The 24,104-nt window shown below is 40.2% G+C and overlaps 1 long non-coding RNA gene and 1 pseudogene across 2 annotated transcripts in view; both read right to left on the reverse strand.

Annotated features, from left to right (window-relative positions):
* Positions 1-24,104, reverse strand: part of PRORY (PRORY Y-linked lncRNA) — a 69,942-nt gene that overhangs the window by 11,531 nt on the left and 34,307 nt on the right. The gene's annotated exons all lie outside the window — the stretch shown is intronic.
* RBMY2EP (RNA binding motif protein Y-linked family 2 member E, pseudogene) lies at positions 1,713-8,127 on the reverse strand (annotated as a pseudogene). The gene is made up of 5 exons (NR_001574.2): positions 8,042-8,127; positions 7,488-7,591; positions 2,436-2,546; positions 2,265-2,353; positions 1,713-1,856 (listed from the first exon to the last, which is right to left on the reverse strand). The product of NR_001574.2 is annotated as an RNA binding motif protein Y-linked family 2 member E, pseudogene (transcript).

Raw genomic sequence — 24,104 nt, forward strand, 5'->3', positions numbered from 1 at the left:
ACATGAATAATTCACTTAAAAATCGAAGTTGGTAACTTCTCCCTTTAAAATTATTTGCACCCTTACCCTATAAAAAGTGATGATCTTGTAAAATTTTCTCAAGAAAATACTCCTTCCTTGCAGATTAGTCTGTTAATTGTAAAAGTTATGGACTTCAAAACTTCAGGAACTTCATGTGTTTCATTTCTTTAGGTTGTATAATCAGGAAAAGTAATTGGTTTAGTTATTTAGGTCCAAATATTTTTATTTTTAACATTCGATGATTTCTTAAACCTTTAAGCAATCCCATCTGAAACTTTATGCAGTTATGTTTTATACACTTCATTGTCCCAAAAGTGTGAGGTTTAAAGCATTTCCATTCATATCATCAATTAAATCTGATAGGCTGAGAGTGGTGGCTCATGCCTGTAATCTTAGGATTACACTTTGGGAGTCTGAGGAGGATGGATCAGGATTTTAAAGAATGGCCTGGCAAACATGGTGAAATGCAGTCTGTACTAAAAATACGAAAAATTAGCCAGCTGTGGTGCATACTTATCTAATACCAGTTACTCAGGATGCTGAGGCAGAAGAAGAGCTTGACCCAGAAGGCGGAGTTTGCAGTAAGCCAAGATGGAGCCACTGCACCCCCGCTTGGGTGACAAAGCTATGTTTCATCTCAAAAAAAAAAAACTGATAAAATCCCAACCATTCTAAATTATTCCTATTTGTAAGAACTTATTACTAAACTGTTATAACAACCACTGCCAAAACTTTCAAGAAAAAATTATCATGAGTACCACCCAAGACAAAACACCTACTTTCCACTATTTAAACTAGGAACATTTAATTTCATCATGCTATGCACTTCAGAAACTTAGCTAGTTCAGTTTTGATTTAGGTTAAAAAAAAAAAAGGTTTCATTATCATATCCTCTTTCAGTCACAGAACGCTTCAAGTAGAATGTTCCAGATGTTTTAAACTTTAGTATCAACCCCATCTATTTATTTCCTTTGACCTGTACTATTCCTCTAAAAGATAAACGTTTTATGGTGAGGCAGACAGTTTTGTAGTCTTTCTGAAGGCTTCTCAAACATTTTAAGCTTGTAAGTTTTTAAAGAGAAACAGCCTAATTAGAAAACTTGTGCCGCTTGCAAGGGAGATGTAACATATGCCTAATTTTGTATCTATTTATGTTCAAAGAAACAAAGGAAAATGTTCAGCAAACAACAGAATTTACTCTCCTATTGAATTTTCTTTTAAGCATGTGCAGCTAACCAATAACATCAGGAATTTTCTATTACTGTAAAATTTTATTCTGAACATTTTAATGTAGATATTACATCTAAACAGATAGTTTTCAAATAGCATTAACAAGTATGAAATTACTTTGAAGAAAATTATTTTTCCTTTGAATACCTCAAAACCTTCATGGAGGAAGTTAGTATCTACCTGTCTCCACAAAGCCCATATGCTTCTTTTAGTAATATGCAGGTAACAATGCAGAAATAACATTTCAATTTTCGATTTGCAAACAAGGTTTGGTATGCAATAACTATTATTTGGAATACTTGCTTTAATATCTGCTTCAGTCTCCTTTTCAGATCGACTTTCCCGACCATCTACTGTAGATGCCACATAACTTCAGTTACCATATGCTTCACGACGAGCAGGGTGAACCCTACCCAGAGAAGGTGGATTCCTTTGGTCTTTTCTGCCAGTGTGCTCATGACCACAAAAGTAAAAATCACCGCAGCTTCTTGAGTAACTTTCTTGACTTCTGCCCTATGTATCTCGTGTATTGTTATAATCAGGGTGGCTGCTTCCACCATAAGACATCCGAGGCCCTCTTGCAGGTGGTGCACCATGAGAGGTCCCTGCAGGGTTGATAAAATAATATGTGGGACTATATTTAAACACTTTTACTGCCACCACTAAAGGATGAATTAGTTAAAGTCCTATTTGGAAATATCTGCTTTCCTCTGCCCTTGTTGACAGGATAGATATTAATTAAGCCTGCATTGGTCAGAAGGTTTTATTTAAAAGAAGTGTAAGAGTAGTATTTTGAAGCTTAACAAATTTAATTCTGAAGTAAACGTTGAGTCACTTTTTCTGCACATGAAGTTCTCTCCTTCATATCGTTCCCTACACTTTATACTGTTAGACTACTCAATATTTAAATATGTTATATTGTCCTTTATAATTTTCCTTAGAATTTCATTAAAATAATGATCTGGACTATTACATAAAATTCTTTAATTTAAAAATCCATCCTGGACTCTTACCATATCCCTGAAATTCATTTTTGTAAGAACTTCCACTTGTACGATCAGAATGATCTCTACCACGGGTTTCGTCGTAGCCACCACTATCACTAAATTGAAAAAAAAAATTTTTAATGTCAGAATAAACAATTTAAGAAATCTATTTGATAAATCCAGATAATGTTATAGTACCTATATCCTCTAGAGGAATGTTCATCCCGACTAGAGTGACCATTATCACAGTATGCATAGCCTCTAGATGGTGGAGCATAATCCCTGGTTTCTTGGGAGCTTGGATGATTTCTGTGTGAGTAAGTTTAAGCAACAAATTTAAAATTTTCAACTTCTACTATCCAACATATAACTAAATTACAACTTAAACACAATTAAATTGCCAAACATCTAAAAAGATATTTCTCCAAATAAAATAGGCAAATGCCCAAAAACACATGGAACAGATACTAATAATCAGTGATTCATAAAATGCATTTCAAATCCAAAATGAGATTCCAGACTTCAAACACACACTAGAATGGCATTACATTTTAAAAAGCAGGAAGTAGCAAGTGTTTGAGAGTATGTAGATAAATTGGAACCCTAATACAATGTTAGCTGGAATGAATAACTTAAGAAATCTTTTTGACAAGTCCAGAAAAAGTTATAGTACCTATATCCTCCAGAGTAATGTTCATCCCAACTAGAATGACCATAATCATGATATGCATAGTCTCTAGATGGTGGAGCATAATCCCTAGTTTCTCAGGAGCTTGGATGATTTCTGCGTGCATAAGTTTAAGCAACACATTTTAAATTTTCAACTTCTAGTATCCAAAACGTAACTAAGTTGCAACTTAAACAAAATTAAAAGGTCCAAAATCTAAATGGATATTTCTTCAAATAAAATAGGCAAATGCCCAAAAAGCACATGAACAGATACTCACAATCAGTGATTCAGAAAATGCACTTCAAATCCAAAATGAGATACCATAATTCACACACACACACACACACACACACTGGAATGGCAATAAAAGCAGGAAATAGCAAGTGTTTGACAGGATGCAGATAAATTGGAACCCTGATGCAATGCTAGTTGGAATGGAAAATGATGCAGCTACTATGGAGAAATGTCGTGGTTCCTCAAGAAAACAATATAATTATCATACTACCAAGCAATTCCACTCATATACACCCAGAATTGAATACGTGTACTCAAACAAATATTCATGCATAGAAATACTGCGGTGGAAACAACCCAAATAAAATAATGAGTTAACAGCTTGTGGAAGGAGTGAAGTGCTATGATGTAAATGAACCTTCAGGACATCATGGAAAAGGAAAGGAGAGAGATACAAAAAGTCGTGTAGTGTTTGAGCCGATTAACATTAAATGCCCACAACAGTAAGTTCAGAGGCAGAACACTGACTGGTGTTTGCTAGCAGCTGAGGGAAGGGAGAAAATGGAAGGAACTGCTTAACTGGTAGTTGGAGTTTTATTTTGGAGTCATGAAAATGTTTTGGAACTCGATGGAGGTAGTTGTTGCATGACATAGAATGTATTAAATGTCACTTAACTGTTTACCTTATAATAATTAATTTTGTTATGTTTATTTCATCATCAAAACAAAAATAATCAACTTTTTAAAATTTTTTCCTTTACCCATCCTTAGTTGCATAACCGTCATCTCTTAGAGACATATGGTCATTTCTCCAGGAAGAGATTGTCTCTCTGAGTGGAGGACCTCCCTAATTCCCTCTTCCATATGATACGAGACCTTTAACATTAAAATGTTGGAACATTATGTAAAGAACACCAAATCTGAAACACTATTTTCTCTTCTCTCAAACAACTTTTTAAAATTATTTCTTCTATGACTCCATTCTTTGTTTCCTAAATTACTAGACAGTCATGACACTGTGAATATTTCTTATGGCTTTGGAGAATCCCATGGCTCCCACAAGGCCAGTTCTTCTAATGAAGCTGAAGGCAAACATTAATTCTTAGGTAAAAGTTCATTTGTAATGGTTAAGAACTACTTAGTTACTATTTTCCTTTTCATATGAATTACTGATGACTACAAATGACATAGGGAAAACATGTAAAACCACCAAATCTTCACAATTTTAAAGTTTACATACATTGACCTTTCTCAGCTGAGGAAGGTAAATTTTCCCACATAGTTCAATCTACCTCACAAACACAAATACTGCTACCTTTGAACGACTGCATGCTAATTTTTTACATAAAAGTTCTCCTTTCTCTCTAAGTGGTTGGCTCTATCTTAAATGTTGACAAATTAAAATGTACTAGTGAAAACTTTCTAATGATAGCCAAGATTTACTTTTACTGCAATAAACAACACTATTAAAGGGGTCATTACAACATGGTTGCTATTTCAAAATAGAAAAAATTATCCTTTAATATACTCTTCACAGTGCTATTCCTTAAAGGTCAGCCTTTCACCTATGATATGTTCACTAGCTAATTTTCCAATGGAAATGTGTTGGCTTGGGTATCCTGAAGTCAATAAATACCTGACTTCACCAATACTCTACTTATGAAATGTAAAATTGAAAATGTCAGTTTTTAATTTCCTCCATATTAGGATGGAGGACTAAGTAAGAATTTTAATTTGTTCTGCTTACTTTCTTTGCTGAAAACTTCTGTTTCTTGTCTTGCTTTCTTCTGTTCAGTCTGCAATCTTACAATTGTCCTTCTCAAAAATATTACTTCTATTCAATCCTACTGCTCACATCATGTTGCTTAGTACTACATTCTCTCCTCAAATAATTTCCAACCTTACACTAAGGATATTGTGTTAATGTTTAAACATCCTAGAACAATCTTAATTATTGATTTACAGTTCAGCTAATAACTCGATTTGAAAATTACATGGATTTTGTTATTTAGGGGAAGATCTTAAATCCCTTACAAGACCTCTTGCAGCCACGTCGCCCGTTGTTTCTACCTTGAAACTTCTTTTTTTATTTCTGGGCCCAAAATATTTGCCCAGATTTGCTCATGGCTGCTTCCTCCCCAGTGTTCCAAAGTCATCCAAAATTCCTTAAACTCTTTATTCACCTTGAAAATCTAAGAACCTCCTTTATTGGCCTTCTCAACATTTATGTGCACATAACATTCCTATTTATTTTTACACAACAAAATATGTGAGATTAAGTAGTTTAGAAATAACATTGGCTGGGTGTGGTGTCTCACACCAGTAATCCCAACACTTTGGGAGGCCGAGGCAGGTGGTTCATGAGATGAAGAGATAGAGACCATCCTGGCCAACAGGGTGAAACCCTCTCTCGCTCAAAGTAGCAAAATTAGGTGGGCATGGTGGCGTGGCCTGTAGGCAGGAGAATCAGTTGAACCCAGGAGGCAGAGGTTGCAGTGAGCCAAGATCAACCCACTGCAATCCAGCCTGTTGACACAGTGAGACGCCATTTTAAAAAACAAACAGACAAAAACTCTACACAAATTACCTGCTCTTTTGCTTGAAAACTAGGGGGAGAAAGGAAATTATCATAGATTACTATACAGAAGTCAAAATTATCTCCAGAGTTACCACAAAGCCATGAACCAAAAGCTACTCTTGGTTTCTACCACAGCTTGAAATACTAATTTATAAGAGTGAATAAAAATGTACTTTCTGCTATGTGCCAGGAAATGTGCTAGATGTAACAGAAATAAAAGCAACTAGGAAGACTTAAATATGCACTATATACAATTTCACAATCAATAGATTAATACATGGTACAGCAAGTACAAAATACCTACAATACGCAATGAGGAAGAAAATATGAAATCTAAGTGGTTTTTGAAGCATAAATTGTTATTTTTGAGACACACACAGGGAAGGATAATTCTTAAGAAGTCCAAAAAAGCATTTTGGGGATAGCATAAAGAGGAACAGAGGCTAAAAACAGATTGGGATAACGTTATTTATCATTTTTTTAATTTGCTATATTTGTTTGCTATAGAGTCTTGCTCTGTTGCCAGCCTGAAGGGCAGTGGCATGATCTCAGCTCACTACAACCTCCGCCTCACAGGTTCAACTGATTCCCCTGCCTCGGCCTACCAAGTAGCTGGAGCTACAGGCACTTACCACCACTCGCGGTGGATTTTTTGTATTTTAGTAGAGACAGGGTTTCACCATGTTGGCCATGATGGTTTCGTTCTCCTGACATCATGATATGCCTGCCTTGGCCTCCCAAAGTGCTGGGATTACAGGCTTTAATAAAAAGTGCACATAAAAACAATGGCGCCTTAGCACCATCTCCCACAACTTGCCCAAATTTCAGACATGTCCGACAGTTAAAGGTAGAATCCTCAAGAAAAATCAATGAGTTTAACAAAAATGAATTTCTTAAAAGGACTAATATCACACTGCTCCCACCAAGCCCAGCCTGATTAGGATCATGTTATAAAGCAAAAAAGTTCTAAAGGGCCCAGAATGGAATGAACTTGACACAATGTAAAGGAATTCAAGAGTTAACAGAATTACATAAAAGTTTAAAGCTTTAGTAAATACACAATCCCTAGATTTAAGACTCAATAGGACAAGAGACCAATGTTTGGATCAAAACAAATCCTCAAACACACTGGGGAAATGAGTAATTAGGTATTCATGTTACATACATCACTCTGGTGACAGGAAAAAAACGTCCTTAGGAGAAAAGAGCAAGGATGGGGAAAAAATGCCAGTTACTTCTTGTGTTATCCAACTTCAATGTTCTCCTATTTTTTTCTATTTTCAAGTACTTAACACTTCCTTAAATGTAAAGGTCTTATTTAAACCCACTTTCTCAAAAATATATTTTCAGAAAACGGGAGAGAATCTTTCCTTCTTGTGAGTCTGTCTAGATGTCTATCCACAGTTTTTCTGTGCTCTAGAAGTATTTCCATGAATTGGAAGTAATTGCATTAATGGCATGTAATAAATGTTGACTTATTCCTTTCATTTACATGAGGGTCCCTTATAAGTTTTAAAGCTCTTCAAAACCTTTGAAGATCTATTTACACTTATATTGAAATACAAACATAGAAAAAGTTTACCATATATTAATTTATATAAGGTTAATTCCAATACCCTTCCAACTACAGTTGAATGTATATGGCACAAAGAAGAGGATGTCTTCATATGGCACTCTACTATCTTCAAAAGTTACATAATTCTAAAAAGACCTAGAAATACTGTTAACTGAAGAAGAGAGTTAGAATATTATTAATAAGGGACTCTACCTCTCCATTCATATCTTTGGCAGCATTCTTAACATCTGCAGGGTTCTCAAAAGTAATAAATGCAAAGCCTCTGGATTTGCTGGTTCGATCCTTTATCAAAAGAACTAAAATATATGAAAACATTTTACATTGATATAATGGACGCGTCAAGGTACTAACCATCTAAAAGTTACATCAAATCAAAAATAATTGCATTTCACATCACTAGTATTATACTTGATACTGGTCACCCCTATAGTTAGCCTATTTTGTTCCAGTTTGTTCCCTAACTCCACAACACGTTTAGTTTTCCTTATTTTCGTTTCTAAGTAGTAGGTGATCCTTACCACAGATCCTTAACCTGCTACTATGAGAATTTTCCAAATATCAAATAGATAACCCCAAAATAAGAGTTTAAAAACAATAAGGCATTTTAATGTAGGTATACAATGAACTTTGAAAAACATGTTTTTTCAAAACATATATATAACAGACATATTTTAAATATACATATTGAAATATACATATGAAAATACACACACACACACACACGCACACACGGTTTTAAGGGTTACCTTCTGATATGGGACCATGTTTCTCAAATACTGCTTTAAGCATCTTTTCATTGGTTTCCCTATTGAGGCCACCAATGAAAAGCTTGCCCGGATGATCTGCTTCTACCATTGTGCTGCAAATGGTCAAAGAAAAATCTATATTTAGATAAAAATAAATAAGCTAAAAATATAAAAATTTATTACATACCATGTTGAAAACTCAAGTGAAATTCCCTTTCAGAGGCTGACATCTTTTTAGTACTTCTTACTTTAAATACAAACATCAATTCAAGATGGATTAAAGACTTAAACGTTAGACCTAAAACCATGAAAACCCTAGAAGAAAACCTAGGCAATACCATTCAGGACATAGGCATGGGCAAGGACTTCATGTCTAAAACACCAAAAGCAATGGCAACACAAGACAAAATTGACAAATGGGATCTAATTAAACTAAAGAGCTTCTGTACAGCAAAAGAAACTACCATCAGAATGAACAAGCACCCTACAAAATGGGAGAAAATTTTTGCAACCTAGTCATCCGACAAACGGCTAATATCCAGAATCTACAATGAACTCAAACACATTTACAAGAAAAAAACAGACAACCCCATCAAAAAGTGGTCAAAGGACATGAACAGACAGTTCTCAAAAGAAGACATTTATGCAGCCAAAAAACACATGAGAAAATGCTCATCATCACTGGCCATCAGAGAAATGCAAATCAAAACCACAATGAGATACCATCTCACACCATTAGAATGGCAATCATTAAAAAGTCAGGAAACAACAGGTGCTGGACAGGATGTGGAGAAATAGCAACACTTTTACACTGTTGGTGGGACTGTAAACTAGTTCAACCATTGTGGAAGTCAGTGTGGCGATTCCTCAGGGATCTAGAACTAGAAATACCATTTGACCCAGCCATCCCATTACTAGGTATATACCCAAAGGACTATAAATCATGCTGCTATAAAGACACATGCACATGTATGTTTATTGTGGCACTATTCACAATAGCAAAGACTTGGAACCAACACAAATGTCCAACAATGATAGCGTGGATAAAGAAAATGTGGCACATATACACCATGGAATACTATGCAGCCAAAAAAAATGATGAGTTCATGTCCTTTGTAGGGACATGGATGAAATTGGAAGTCATCATTCTCAGTAAACTATCGCAAGAACAAAAAATCAAACACCGCATATTCTCACTCATAGGTGGGAACTGAACAATGAGATCACATGGACACAGGAAGGGGAACATCACATTCTGGGGACTGTTGTGGGGTAGGGGGAGGGAGGAGGGATAGCATTGGGAGATATACCTAATGCTAGATGACCAGTTAGTGGGTGCAGCGCGCCAGCGTGGCACATGTATGCATATGTAACTAACCTGCACAATGTGCACATGTACCCTAAAACTTAAAGTATAATAATAAAAGGAAAAAAAAGAAAAAAAATAAATAAATATGTAAAATTTCTAACATACAGAGCAAAAGGGGCACTGACTTCACAGATAAATGCTGCATTTTAATATGGACCTGACAAAATCTCATTTCTAAAACTTAGATAAGAAAAGCTATTGTAATTTTCCTAAGTTGTAATGTGAAGGAGTGCCCCATTTAAATAATTTTATTTGAAAACTATATATTTATGAGGTACAGTGTGAGGTTTTGTGTATTTTCTTTCTTGAGATGTATATCCCCTGTTGCCAAAATGCACTGCTCATTGCCACCTCCTCCACCCAGCCTCAAATGATCTTCCCAAAACTCAGCTTCCCAAGTAGCTGGTACTACCAGGGCTTTTTACCAGAGCTGGGAAATTTTTTGTGTTTTTTTTAAATAGACATGCGTTTCCCCATATTGCCCAAGCCAGTCTCCAAATCCTGGGTTCAAGTGATTTGCTGGCTTGGGACTATTAGAGTGATGGCATTTCAAGGGTGAACCACCACGCCCAGCGGGATATGTGGATAAAAGATTAAATCAAGCAAATTAAAATGTTCTAGGAGGAGAACATTTTAAATATTTTACCATCTTTAAGTGATTTGAAATATACAATAGGTCAAGGATCCCTGAATCCTGGCCTTCAACCCGTACCTATCTGTGGCCTGAATGTGATGCCGGAGGATGACCTGCAATACCTGTCTGTGGAGAATGTAACGCCTGAGGATGACCTGAGGTGGTACAGTTTTATCCGGAAACCATCCTCCCTACTCCCTCGCTGGCCCTCCCTGTCCCCGTGACAGCCTCACTGCCCCACCTGGCCTCTGTCACATTGCTCCTACCGGAAGACCCGCCCCACCACGTGCCCCTCGGAGACCTGCCGCCAGCCCCCACTCCCAAACCTGTCCACCTCGCCGCCTTCTTCCCCTGCGCAACCTTTCTCTGAGGAAAAACTGACTTCCACTAAACCAGTCCCTGATGCGAAAATAGCAATGAAAGAGTCCATTACGTTACCCAGGCTGGTCTCAAACTCCTGACTTCAAGCCATCCTCCGACCTCCACTTCCCAAAATGCTAGGACTACAGGAGTAAGGCAGTGTGCCAGGTTAACAGAATAACTTAAGCGCATCTATTTTGTTCCAGTTTTCGGCTATCTAACACCATTTATCTGGATTACACCTACTTATTCGGTTTAAATTATTTATGGTGCCAAAGACACATGAAACATGTTTCAAATACTGTCATACAACGAAGGAGACAATTACAGGCTTTACAGAGGCAAACTGAAACTCAGATTATTTACGGCCCCAGACTTCTACATAAACTAACGTAATACAATTTATGTCAAAATTTGGTAATTCCCGTCAAGCAAATCAGACATGTGACATGCGCTGACTAAAAGTATAAGTTTTTAATAGCCTTGGTTAAATATATTGCCTGTATTTTGAATGATGACCACATTCACAGAGAAAACCCTGTTTAATAAAAAGTGCACATGGCGCCTTAGCACCATCTCCCACAACTTGCCCACATGTCGGACATATCCGACAGTTAAAGGTAGAATCCTCAAGAAAATTAATGAGTTTAACAAAAATGAGTTTCTTAATAGCACTAAGGAGTTCTCTCCCCACTGTCTCCTCCTATAATTCAACACCCTCACATGGAAAACCCATCCCCTTTTACAGATAAAATCGCAAAACTTTTCTGTTCTTATCAAGAGACCAACCTGTCCAGAGAAACAGAAAATACACGTGCTTTTCAGCAGGACAAACAGCCTCAGGGTCGCCCGGCTCTCATGTCGTATGCATCCGGCTTTGGGACACCACGGGGCCAACTGCGGGAAGGACTGCTGGAACTGGCCTGAGGGGGAAGGACGCCAGAAGCCGTGCCCGGAAATCCCGCCTACCTCCAGCGGCCAATCATTGCGAGGGCGGGGGGCGTCGACCAGTTATTGCGAGGACTGTAGGCGTCTTACGAGGCACCCTGCCCCTAGTTGGCAGGCAGCTCCATCCTCCCGCGGTAAGCCTCCTCTGAGAAGCTGCTTGTGCCTGGCGGCGGAGGATTCCGACACACGCGGACTGTAAGCCCTTTGGCATTGTGGGCATAGAAGACCTACACCCTAACTGGCATCCTGAGTGTGGCAAGACATTAACCCACAGGGAACATATGAAACATCTTACTTCATTAGGCAGGTTAGGCTGATGGTACTAAATACTGCAGATCCAGAGGGGAGAGTGAAGAACCAGGCGAGGACGCCGCAGCTGCGGTGGCTTGGAGGGGAGTGGGGCAGGGCGGGTGCCTGGGAGAAAAGTCGACGGGTAAGTTGCTGGGGTGGAATTCGTCTGCACCAGAAGCTGAAACCCCACAAGGACTCTATCAGGTCTAGGCAAACACAGACTCCGAGTTCCATGCTTCCTCCCTGAGGATGCTGTACTCACAGGGGCGTTCCAAAGGACCTCTCATCCTGTGCCCCTGGGCACACGGGAGGCCAGCCGCCATGGTTGCCAATGCGATAACCCGTGTGCACTGCCTCGCTGGCACAGATCCTCCCGCAAGCGCCGCAGTGGCCGTCGTGCCTGCCAGTGAGGCTCTGGAAGCCCAGGGCCTCGGCCTCCGACTCCAGGGCTACTGTGTACAGCTAACCCTGCTGGGTATCTGGGCCCCATGGTGAGTGTGGCGGACTGTGGGCCCTGCGGGGCTCCCCAGGAACCCTGTATCCACGTGGGTGTGGCACATGTTTCTCAGAAGGGCAAGGCCCAGGGGCCCTTCCGGGAGCTTCCTCTAGAGTCTAGGGGTGCCAAGGACATGAGATGGGCAGTGTAGGCCTTAGTCTGTGGGAGCCTCAAGGAGGGCACCATGTTAAGGGGGAGGTGCTGCAGGAAAGGGCAGCCTGTGCGCAGAGCAGGGAGGCAACCCTGGGGGAGGAGGCATGCTAGTGGCTAGTGGGGGATGACATCATGGCAGAGATAGAGGTGGTGGCCAAGGAGGAGGCCAATGTGGAGCGGCAGCAGGAGGACCCGCAGGCACAGCCTGGCCCTGGCCCCAGGACGCCCCGGCCAGCAACCAACTCGCTGGACGTCCTTCACTTGGAGCTGGGCTCCAGTGAATGTCCCAGGCCGCAGGGCATCCACGGCTTCTGGGTCAGAGCCATATCCTTGCAGCTGCCAATTCGGGATGGCTGACAGGTGGGTGGGCGCCGAGCTCCCAGGAGCGGGGTTGGGGGAAACAAGGTGGTAGGCACCGGGGCTCAGCCAGGATTCAGGACATGGGGGACAACGAGGGGAACCAAGGACAGATTCATGCAGATAGAAGGGCAGCTTAATTGCGGGCACCCTGAGGGCACGTTATAGGGACAGAAAGCCAAGCACAGCACTCACAAGGGAGAATAGCACCTCAAAGGACCCTTCATAAACAGCAGAAAGTTGAAGGACACATTTCACTGGGAAAATCCCTGGAGGAAGGGGAATCTGCGCGCCCAGGCCAGCCATGGAAATACCCCTGCTCCCGGTACCTGTGTCCAGCAGGCTTATCCTAGAAACACAAGGTGCTCAATACTCGGGTTCACCGTGCACGGGGCTGCTGTCCTCTGCAAGGCAGGCACCAGCTCCTCAGACACGATTTCTTCCCTCTGCCAGTGCTGCATCCAAGGATGTTTAGGCCATGAGCATATACAACCTCCCATGAAACCACTAGAGTCTCATGGAGAGAGTCAGGCACAGCCCTGCAGCTACTTCTATTCACAGCGGTTCCCTCGGGTGGACACGCCCACCCCTCAGTGAGACCAAGAGAAGAGGACACCGCACACACGGACAGCAGCAGAGCCTGTCCAGCACCCAGCACATGAGGGCCTCCCACAGCTCAGGAACCCTGAGCAAGTAGCTGCCTCACACCACAACACCCCGCCGGCAATCCCCTCCCCACTTTTTCTGTGCCTGTCCCTGGTCAGAGCAGGCTGTCTTGGCCTGCCTCCACCCGCCGCCAAGACCACCACAGCTGCGAAGGTGCCCGCCAACACCAGACAGAGGACCAGGAAGGGAGGGTGCCAGACCAAAGGCCTGCGGGGTAGCCCTGCCCCACACTCTCCGTGCTCTTGCAAAGTTGCAGGGTGTTTCCCTGTGAGAGGTGACAGCGTGCTGGCAGTCCTCACAGCCCTCGCTCGCTCTCCGTGCCTCCTCTGCCTGGGCTCCCACTTTGGCGGCACTTGAGAAGCCCTTCGGCCCACCACTGCACTGTGGGAGCCCCTTTCTGGGCTGGCCAAGGCCGTAGCCGGCTCCCTCAGCTTGCAGGGAGGTATGGAGGGAGAGGCGCGAGTGGGAACCCGGGCTGCGCGCGGCGCTTGCGGGCCAGCTGGAGTTCCAGGTGGGCGTGGGCTTGGCGGGCCCTGCCCTCAGAGCAGCCTGCCGGCCCTGCCAGCCGCGTGCAATGAGGGGCTTAGCACCCGGGCCAGTGGCTGCGGAGGGTGTACTGGGTCCTCCAGCAGTACCAGCCCACCGGCGCTGTGCTCAATTTCTCGCCGGGCCTTAGCTGCCTTTCCGCGGGGCAGGGGTCCGTAACTGCAGCCCTCCATGCCTGAGCCCCCCACCCCCTCCGTGGGCTCCTGTGCGGCCCGAGCCTCCCTCAGGAGCGCCGCCCCCTACTCCACGGCGCCCAGTCTCATCGACCACCCAAGGTCTGAGGAGTGCAAGCGCATGGCGTGGGACTGGTAGGCAGCTCCACCTGCAGCCCCAGTGCGCGATCCACTGGGTGAAGCCAGCTAGTCTCCTGAGTCTGGTGGGGACATGGAGAACCTTTATATATAGCTCAGGGATTGTAAATACACCAATCGGCACTCTGTATCTAACTCAAGGTTTGTACACACACCAATCAGCACCCTGTGTCTAGCTCAGGGTTTGTGAGTGCACCAACTGACACTCTGTATCTAGCTGCTCTGGTGGGGCCTTGGAGAACCTTTATGTCTAGCTGAGGGATTGTAAATACACCAATTGGCACTCTGTATCTAGCTCAAGGTTTGTAAACACACCAATCAGCACCCTGTGTTTAGCTCAAGGTTTGTGAATGCAGCAATCAACACTCTGTATCTAGCTACTCTGGTGGGGACTTGGAGAACCTTTGTGTCCATACTCTGTATCTAACTAATCTGATGGGGACATGGAGAACTTTTGTATCTAGCTCAGGGATTGTAAACGCACCAATCAGTGCTCTGTCAAAACACACCCCTCGGCTCTACCAATCAGCAGGATGTGGGTTGGGTCAGATAAGAGAATAAAAGCAGGCTGCCCGAGCCAGCATTGGCAACCCCCTCAGGTCCCTTTCCACACTGTGGCAGCTTTGTTCTTTCATTCTTTGCAATAAATCTTGCTACTGCTCACTCTTTGGGTCCACACTTGCTTTTATGAGCTGTAACACTCACCGCGAAGGTCTGCAGCTTCACTCCTGAGCCAGCGAGACCACGAAGCCACTAGAAGGAAGAAACTCCGAACACATCCGAACATCAGAAGGAACAAACTCCAGACGCGCCACCTTAAGAGCTGTAACACTTACCGTGAGGGTCCGCGGCTTCATTCTTGAAGTCAGTGAGACCAAGAACCCACCAATTCTGGACACACCTGCACGCTCACCAAATCATCTGGTGGCTCCTTGACCAGAGGCAGATTGTGCGTCACACCCAGGTGTTGGTTGGCCGGGATCACAAACGATGATGAAGTCAGTCCTGCTAAGCTACATGATAGATTTGCAGGTCAGGCTAAGGAGCCTGGGTCTGCGGGAGGGGTCCGTTGTCTGGGTCAGGGTGAGATCCCCCTCGGACCCGGGGTGTCTCAGCGGGAGAGCTAGGAAGGGGAAATACATGCTTCACTCCAGCTAGCAGGTCACCTCAGCCCAGCTACATGAAATGGTCTTTTGAGTTCGTCTTCTTTCTCCATCTTGGCCAGGTAAGGGGAGGAACTCAGCCATCCCAGGTACCGACGGTAGGACGAAGTTTTCCTTTTGTCACAACCTTTATTTCCACAATGAAGTTATCGTTCAGGAGTATTGCCTTGGACTCCTCAGTAAGGAGTGCCTCCCAGCATGGTAGGGAAGCTGATGTGTGGGAGGGTATGTCTGTCATGAACCTTTCTGACATCTCTCTTTCCAGGATACAGGATGTCTCATTCCACTGCAGTCCAGTGGTTGTGGGATCATGAAGGTCAAGCCTCCAGCTGCAGGCGCTACACTTTCTACCTGAGCTTCTACGGTCGGTTGGCTGACCATGACTGCCCACGTTCTGGCAGGATTCCTGAGATGGGTGCCACAGTGGGACATCATGGGAAAGAACCTTGCCTTGGCCTCTGGGGAACTGACTTTGAGCCATGACCTGACCTGTCCTGTACCCACTTCTGCAGTACCCCAGATCATCAGCCAGAGCCTGCCATACTCAGGATGCCAGTTAGGGTGTTGCTCTTCCATGCCCACAATTCCAAAGGGCTCACAGTCCGCGTGTGCCAGGCTCAATCCCCTGCAGTACTTCCCCAGAGAGGGAGGCCATTAGAGAGGGAACAGAGAGGAGGCCAGGTGAGCAGTCTAGGGCTGGGGACTGAGAGGCCTTTGATTCCTGGAGTTGTGCCCCACGTGGAGAATCCAAGCCTCAGGGAGGTGACTGCAGTGAGCAATCCCAGGCCATCCATGGGCTGTTGGAGAAATGGCCATCAGGGAACTGTAACATCCTCATTTCAGGATTGGGGCACCTTAAGTCACCTAAGAGGCATAAGTGTCTAAGGTCAGAGGGTGAGAAGCAAGTCTCAAGGGGTAGCTGTCTCATCAAACTTAGAGGGCTCCCTTCCCTGCCCTGAGGCTGGCTACCACTTGAGACTCAGTTTGGGCTCAGCCAGGGCCCTCTCGCCCTCCAGGCAGATGTCCCCCCGAGGCAGATGTCCTCCCAAAATGGCTCTCTGAGGCCCATTGTTTTCTGTTACAATGACCCGAGGGTCCCCTGACATGCTTTCTCCCCTCTGCCATCGTCACTCACACTGCCCTGCCCCCCAGGGACAAGAGAGGCCACTGCACAGGGAATCTGGAAGACCACACTGGGCTCACAGGAGAGGAAATGTAAAGAGATTGCACAATGGCTGGGACCTTTGGTGTTTGTCCAGGGAGGGGAACTGGCTGGGATTTAAGGCCTACCTGAGTAGTGGTTTGGACACCCAGTGTTACTTATCATGATGAAGACCTGCTTTTTCACATCCCCTAATATTAATATGGAAGTTATTTTCTTAGAATAGAGAAACAATGAGTACAAAGAAACAGTGTTTGTTCTGATTCATATGGAAATGCTGCAGACGCATCCGTTTTCCATTACAATTCTTATGTGAGAATTGAAGTGTATATTGAGTTTTAGGATACATTTTGATTGTTCTACTCCTGGCAAATTTTGTGGTCATGTTTGCAATGTAGAGCCATAGAATCCAGAACATTTTTGAGTAACTTTCAGCTTCTTTTAGGGTACTTAATTGTACATTTTTATTTTCTCACCCTGTGGTTCTCTTCAGTTTATTATTTGAACTTTATATGCAAGCTGATAAATTTGTTTTCTTATTTGTCTCTTGTGGAAATTTGTTTTAAAGGACATTTTTTTCTGTTAGATATGTGAGTTTGACTGTGAGTACTTTTTCTAGTACAAATTTTTTATTTTCATTTGTTAGTTTTGTGTGTTTCTGTGTGCGTGTGTGTGTGTGTGTGTGTGTGTGTTTTTAGAAGGAGTCTTGCTCTGTCACCTAGGCTGGAGTGAAGTGGCAGGATCTTGGCTCACCTCAACCTCCGCCTGCCAGCTTCAAGCGATTCCCCTGCCTCAGCCTCCTGTAACAGAAAACGATGGGCCTCGGAGAGCCATTTTGGGAGGACATAGAGATGGGCCTCGGGGGGACATCCGCGTGGAGGGCGAGAGGGCCGTGGCTGAGCCCAAACTGAGCCCCAAGTGGTAGCTCCTCAAGTGGAGCTGGGATTACAGGCACATACCACCATGTCCAGCTAATTTTTGTATTTTTAGTTAAGACTGGGTTTCATCATATATGCCAGGCTGGTCTCCAACTCCTGACCTCAAGTGATCCACCCACCTTGTCCTGCCAAAATGCTGGGCTTACAGATGCAGGCCACCATGCCTGGCCTCACTTATGTGTTTATGTTTTTGAAGCCTCCCTCTATTTTCTTCATGGACACATATTTTAGAGTTATTGAAATAATATATTTTATTTATTTACTTAATACTTTAGTAGGATTTTAAAGGTAATGTTTTTATTCACTAAATGCAGTATTATGAATAGGTTAAAACCTTGTGTAGTATTGCCATTCTCTCTTCCATAAATTCTTCAAGAACTCTGATACTCTTTTTCCCCCACCTGAGGAGAACATGCAGATAGTTACAATAAATTGTGTGAGTGGGTATGAAAACATAATTTGAAGGCTGGGCAGGGTGGCTCACACCTGTAATCCCCACATTTTGGGAGGCCAAGACTGGTGGATTACCAGATGTCAGAAGTTCAAGACCAACGTGGTCAACATGGTGAAACCCCATCTCTACTAAATATTCAAAAATTAGCTGGGTGTGGTGGCAGGTGCCTGTAATCCCAGCTACTTGGGAGGCTGAGGCAGGAGAATCGGTTGAAGCCAGGAGGCAGAGGTTGCAGTGAGCCGAGATCGCACAACTGCACTCCAGCCTGGGCCACAGGAGTAAAACTTTTTCTCCACTGTCCTAACACCCCAAAAAAAGCATCAAATTTACATAATTTTCTTAAAAGCCAGCATAATTTTATTTTTATTGTAGTCATCACGGTCAGACATTGTTTATTTTGGAAAAGTGATTATCAAAATCTGAAAAATCGAGGCCTGATGAAAATATTTAAATTAAACACATTCCAGACGCCCAAATCTGAAAAGCAAAGGTGTTTCTGATATAATAGCCCAAATTCTGCATTTCCTCTCTATTGGACAGTGTAATATTGCACATATGAAAAACAAATGCAGTGTTAAATAAAAAGTAGTGGAATTAAGAGGAGTCATTGCTTAGTGAATTAAAACAACACACAAATTGAGAAGAAAAGACAGTGATAGAAAATATATTGTCTGTTGATTTAATTCACAATAATTTTCATTTTTGTCTATTAGCATTAAATAGTACCATTAACATAATATCATTTTGTATATTGTCTTCTAACATGAAAGTGGTTTTTATTTTATATATTTGGAAACCTGATCAAAGATTCTTTATACATGTTATTTTTTCCCAAATTTGCTACCTAATAGCTACCTAGTGCTAGTTGCCTGGATACCTCTCACTAAGTAGTTTGTCTTTTCCTATTAATTTTAATATGAACTTGTTGTGTATTTTGTTGGCATCTTTACTAAATCTACAGGTGTTGAAGTTGTTCAGATTTCAGTCATGGATCCTCTTGGGTTTTCTCAAGGCTAAAACACCCTTTCTATGCTGACCATTAAGAAATTCCCAACTTCAGGCCAGATCTTTGTTCTGCCTTCAGACTTGGCATATCCAACTGCATGCCTTACATCTCCACATACCAAAACCAGACCTTCATTTCATGCCCAAAACATGTTTCCTCGTACAGTATTCCACTATTTCAGAAATTCACAGCACCAAATACCCTGTATTTCAAGCTAGGAATGTAGAGGATGATCCTTGAGGCAGCCTTTTCTCAATGACACTTCATCATTCACATCCAACTCTTCACAGGTTGTGTGTCCTCTCCGAGAATTACAGTCTTAGTAAATAAAGAATGGCCACTAAGTAACCTTCAATCATCCACTTTTTTTTGAATTCATGTCAGTTTCTTTACAGAACAGCTGGAGCTCTGCAATGTCAATGTTGGAGTAAGTACTATTATCTGCCAGTATTACTATTTTATTTATCATGAGATAAATGTCCCTTAAAAATGCCCACACAAAGCTATACTAAGTAACACAATTAAATGATGTCTTTTTTTACGGATAAGTACAAGGCAAATAGAATCAATTGTTATAATATGATCCTTACAACTACACACACAGGTCCTAGATATTTTGGACCCCACTTCATACATCTGAAATTTGAGTCTCAAAATAATTAACTTCTCTTAAAGTCTAATTTCAGATTACAAAACTACCTCTTTCCACAATATTTTGCTATCTCCCTTTAAGAACCAGCTGGGGAATCATTAAGAATAAAAAAAAGTCATTTTCTTCAACATCTCCTAGCTGAGCCAAAATCTAAATTTTCTGTGGAGGTGTTGTTAATGTGCAATTTCGCCAAAACTTTTACAACTTAATCCACAGTTATGCTTCAGTGGCCTACCTGTCATCCAATACCTGCACACCTGCTTTAACACAGGAAAATTTGGAAGTTAATACAAGTATTAAGTCTTATCATTGTAGACAATGACATATGAAGACACTTTCCAATCTTCCTTGAATATATGATACTCAAGATGTCAGTACAGTCTCCGAATTGTCAATGTAATCTTAGTAGCAGTGGAACATTTACAGAAGGTAATTTTGTGAGAGTGGTCAAATATTTTTATTAAATACTGCTATTTTATAACCATAAATAGCATTAACTGACCCATGGTATATAGCTAGAAATATGTTTCTAAAGAAAATGTTCAGAAATAGGTTTCATGTATTTTGCTAAATTGCAAACTAACAGGTTAATTACTACCGTGAAGTGCTAGATAGTTGGAGTAGTATTTACCAAGAATGAAAAAGAATATAGGGCCATATGACTTGAGAAGGCTGGAGTTAGGAAAAGATAAGGTATTTACTCCTGACTCCTGGCTTGATGTTCTTTGTGTGTTTTTTTATTCTTTTTTGGTTCATTTTTTGTTTGTTTGTTTGTTTGCTTGTTTCTTTGTCATTGCTGTTTTACGTTCTCTTATGTGTCAGACCAGAGTTTCATAAATATCCCCAAATAATTTCGTGGGTCATAAAATATATATCTAGATACTTCTAGCTATTTTCCTTCAAAATCTTGGTTCAATAATCTGAAATGAGACCTAGAGAACCTGTAATTCTCACAAGTATGCTAAGTGATTATTGCCAAAATGACAATTGTGAAATATTTAGAAAACCATCTAGGAGCTAGGTAATCAATTTTAATAATTGATTCTTACTGTAAGCGTAAAGGATTTCGCTGAAATGACTATTTAAATGCAACTTTTATTAAAAAGATAGAATTGAGCACTTCCGTGCTTTCTAATTAGTATCTTTAAAGTATGTTTTCCTAAAGTGGCAAAATTATGTTTTCATTTGAAGTCAGCATTATGGCCACAAATGACTTCTGAGTTAGCTTTTTGAAAAATCTTCAGATCATAAATTCTAAAAATTATCTTGGGTGTTTATAAAACTCCAGAAAATGACTAAGACAATATAAATAAAAATACCAGTATCCAAAATAATCAAAATAAGTCTTACAAATATACAAGAAAACATATATACAATCTAGCCCAGTAGAAGAAAGCAGTACAGGTAAATAGTTAGATCCTTTTTAGAAAGGAATAAAGTCAAATGACCAAGGAAAAATGGCTAGATGCTTGAGCTCATTAGTAATCCAGGGACGTAAATCAAAACCACATTGGGCACCAACTTTTGTTCATTAGCTTGGCAACTATTAAAATAATAATACTGAGTGCAGTCAAGAATGTAAGGAATGGTAATTTTTTTCCATCAATCCACAGGACTATCTAGTGACATTTATTGAAATTAGGGTGACTAAAACCTTTATTGTCCCAATAGAAAGTTTTTTTAGGATAAAAGAGTACTAACATATATAAAATCATTTATTATTTAATTTATTGTTTTATCAATTTATTATTTATTTCCTTACAGTCAAATTGTTTTTACTATATCAATAGATCTATGAAATAGTTATCTTCCAACTATTTTTGAAAATCAAATGCTTTCAAAAATTTAAAACCACAATTACATATCTTGATGCAAAACAGAAAAATAACTTCTTTACATTGTTATTTAAATATTAGAAATAGTAGGCAGAATAATAATTCTGGAACATATTTATGTGAATTAATCTGTTTCTTAACAATAATTATCCATAGTTCTTTTCTGGAAAATGCATATCTTTTAATTTTATATTGACGTTTAAATGAAGTTACTTGCAAGCTTTTCCAAAATTGCTGCTTCTTGTCACCAATAAAAGTCATCGACAATGTTTAGTTTTTTAACTGAACATGAAAAACTATTTATCACATTGTTCAATGTTTCATTTCTGGAACAATAAGATTTCAACAGCTTTATTTTGGTTCCAATGATTGATGAAAAATTCAAACCATTTTTTCATTTAATTTTCTGTTTGAAGCGTCTAAATGGCATTAATCAATGCTTTTGGAATTTCTTTGGTAGTTAATGGAGTTAACATACTAACAACTACTCATGCATATTTCTTAACTGCAGAAAAATTAAAATTAAAAAATATACACAATTGATTAAAAAAATAGTAATGTGATGTAAATAAAAAGCCAAGTATCGCAGAATTATATGCTTAATTTTTTTCCAAATTCACATATTAAACCTGTTGAAATGTCATCTTCAGGCATAGTTTTCTTAATGTAACTAAGTGTTTCCTTCTGAAATAGCAGCTGGTTTTTCCCCTCAATCCTCTATATTCTGGATTTCAGGATATCACTTTTAGCCTTGTGGTCCCAACATGGACTACAAGGCTTTACGATTACACCATGACACTTTTCAACCCATAATTTAATTGAAAGGGAAATTGTTTTTATTAATAATTTAAGTAATTAAATCATTTAGTTAAATAGTTTAATTAATTAGTTTAATTAATAGTTTAATTAATTAAAACTATTAATAGGGAATAGTTTTTAATTAAATATGTAGTTGCATTTTTTTAGGTCATTGCTGCTGAAACAGATTTTTAAAAAAATAGTCATTAGCAAACAGCCCATAAATAAATAGTTGTAGGGTATATGAGAAATGATAAAACCACTGTGGCCAGACCAATTAACAACTCTCTGTGTGCTAAGCTGCTATTTCCAGTACATAATTTACATATACCTAACCTATTATTTCCTTCATTTTCCCCAAACCTACCATATGATGATCTGGGAGTGTCATTAAGTGGACCACATACAAAACAAACAAACAAACAAAAACTATGTCAAATACTTCTCCCATCACCAGGCAAGATTGGATGGAACTACCCATCCCTAGGCACCATGTACTCAGTGCATATTGATTTATTATTACTCACTCTGCTGCATGCTTCCTTGAAAAAGTAGCAGAATCTATGTTTTGTGTGAACTGTGTCAGGAAAATAAAGTTGATTTTCAGATTTGTCTCCCCACTAAAGTCATCATTCTGTTAACATTTTATTTTTCTCATGTACTGATAGAGGCCTCACAATAGCTATAATTATTAAACAAAATGAACATTTAACACTCATGCTGGTTCTAATCAATGTAACATAATAATACTTCATTAAAAATGAGAAATCTAAGACAAGTGCTAAGCCAATTAGCATGGATGAAAAATATTAATAAAGTGGCAGTGCAGGGAGCTAATGAGAATATTTCATTCCCTCAAAGTTAAAATGGTACACACACTGCAGTCCAGCCATTCTTCTAATGTATTCATTAGAAACTGTCACACCTGTGTATTCGGAGGCATAGGGAAGGTTTTTCATTGTAGCATTTCAATAAACACATCGTGGAACATGAGAATTCAGTAGACTGAGAACTATGCCATCAATAATGGCAGCTCTCACCAAGAATGTTAACAAAAAATATGCAAAATAATACACACCTTATAATATTCACATAAATATTAAAAATTTACAAAGCACCAGTATTATTTACAAATAAATATTTTAATAAATTTAAAAAATACAAAGGTAATAACAAGTTCATGATAATGGTGCCTCTGGAAATGGAAGAAAGGAAACAAACCTGAGGGCATATATTCCAATTACAACCAGAGGTCATGTAAATAGAACAGGAAATGTATCAATAGCTGTTATTTTTAAGTGGGGTTAGTTGGTATTTCTTATATTATTTTGTATTTGTATATATTTTTTAAATTTTACTCAAAAACAAATTAATTTTATAATGAATAATATACCATTTACATTGGAATCATCTTGTGAACTAATTGCTTTAAAACTCCCCCGTCCCCATTGCCACTTCCAAGGAATTAAAAAAATTAAAAATTAGAATGTGGTATTTTTAAAAGAAAAATATTTTACAAGTATGAAATAAAATATTTTACCAGCACATCACATTTTTTGACTGATTATCCATGTAAAATCATGTAGTAGGAGAAGAGAGAAGGACACAGGCAGAATTTCACGTATTAGTACAGGAAATAATTGAATGTTTATTTCAAATACCTTCTTAAGACATACTAGTGGCCAAGAAACATAACAAAAGTGCTCAACATCACTGATCATCAGAGAAATCCAAATCAAACTCACAATAAGATACCAGTCAGAATGACTATTTTTATTAAAAAGCCAAAATAATAATAATAAGAATAATATATGCGGGCAAGGTTGCAGGGAAAAAGGAACTCATACCCTGGTGGTGAGAATGTTCAGTCACAGTGGAAAGCAGTTTGGGGATTTCTAAAAGAACTAACAATAGAACTACCATT

The sequence above is a fragment of the Homo sapiens genome, chromosome Y (assembly GCF_000001405.40).
Source record: "Homo sapiens chromosome Y, GRCh38.p14 Primary Assembly".
NCBI classification, from domain to species: Eukaryota; Metazoa; Chordata; class Mammalia; order Primates; family Hominidae; genus Homo; species Homo sapiens.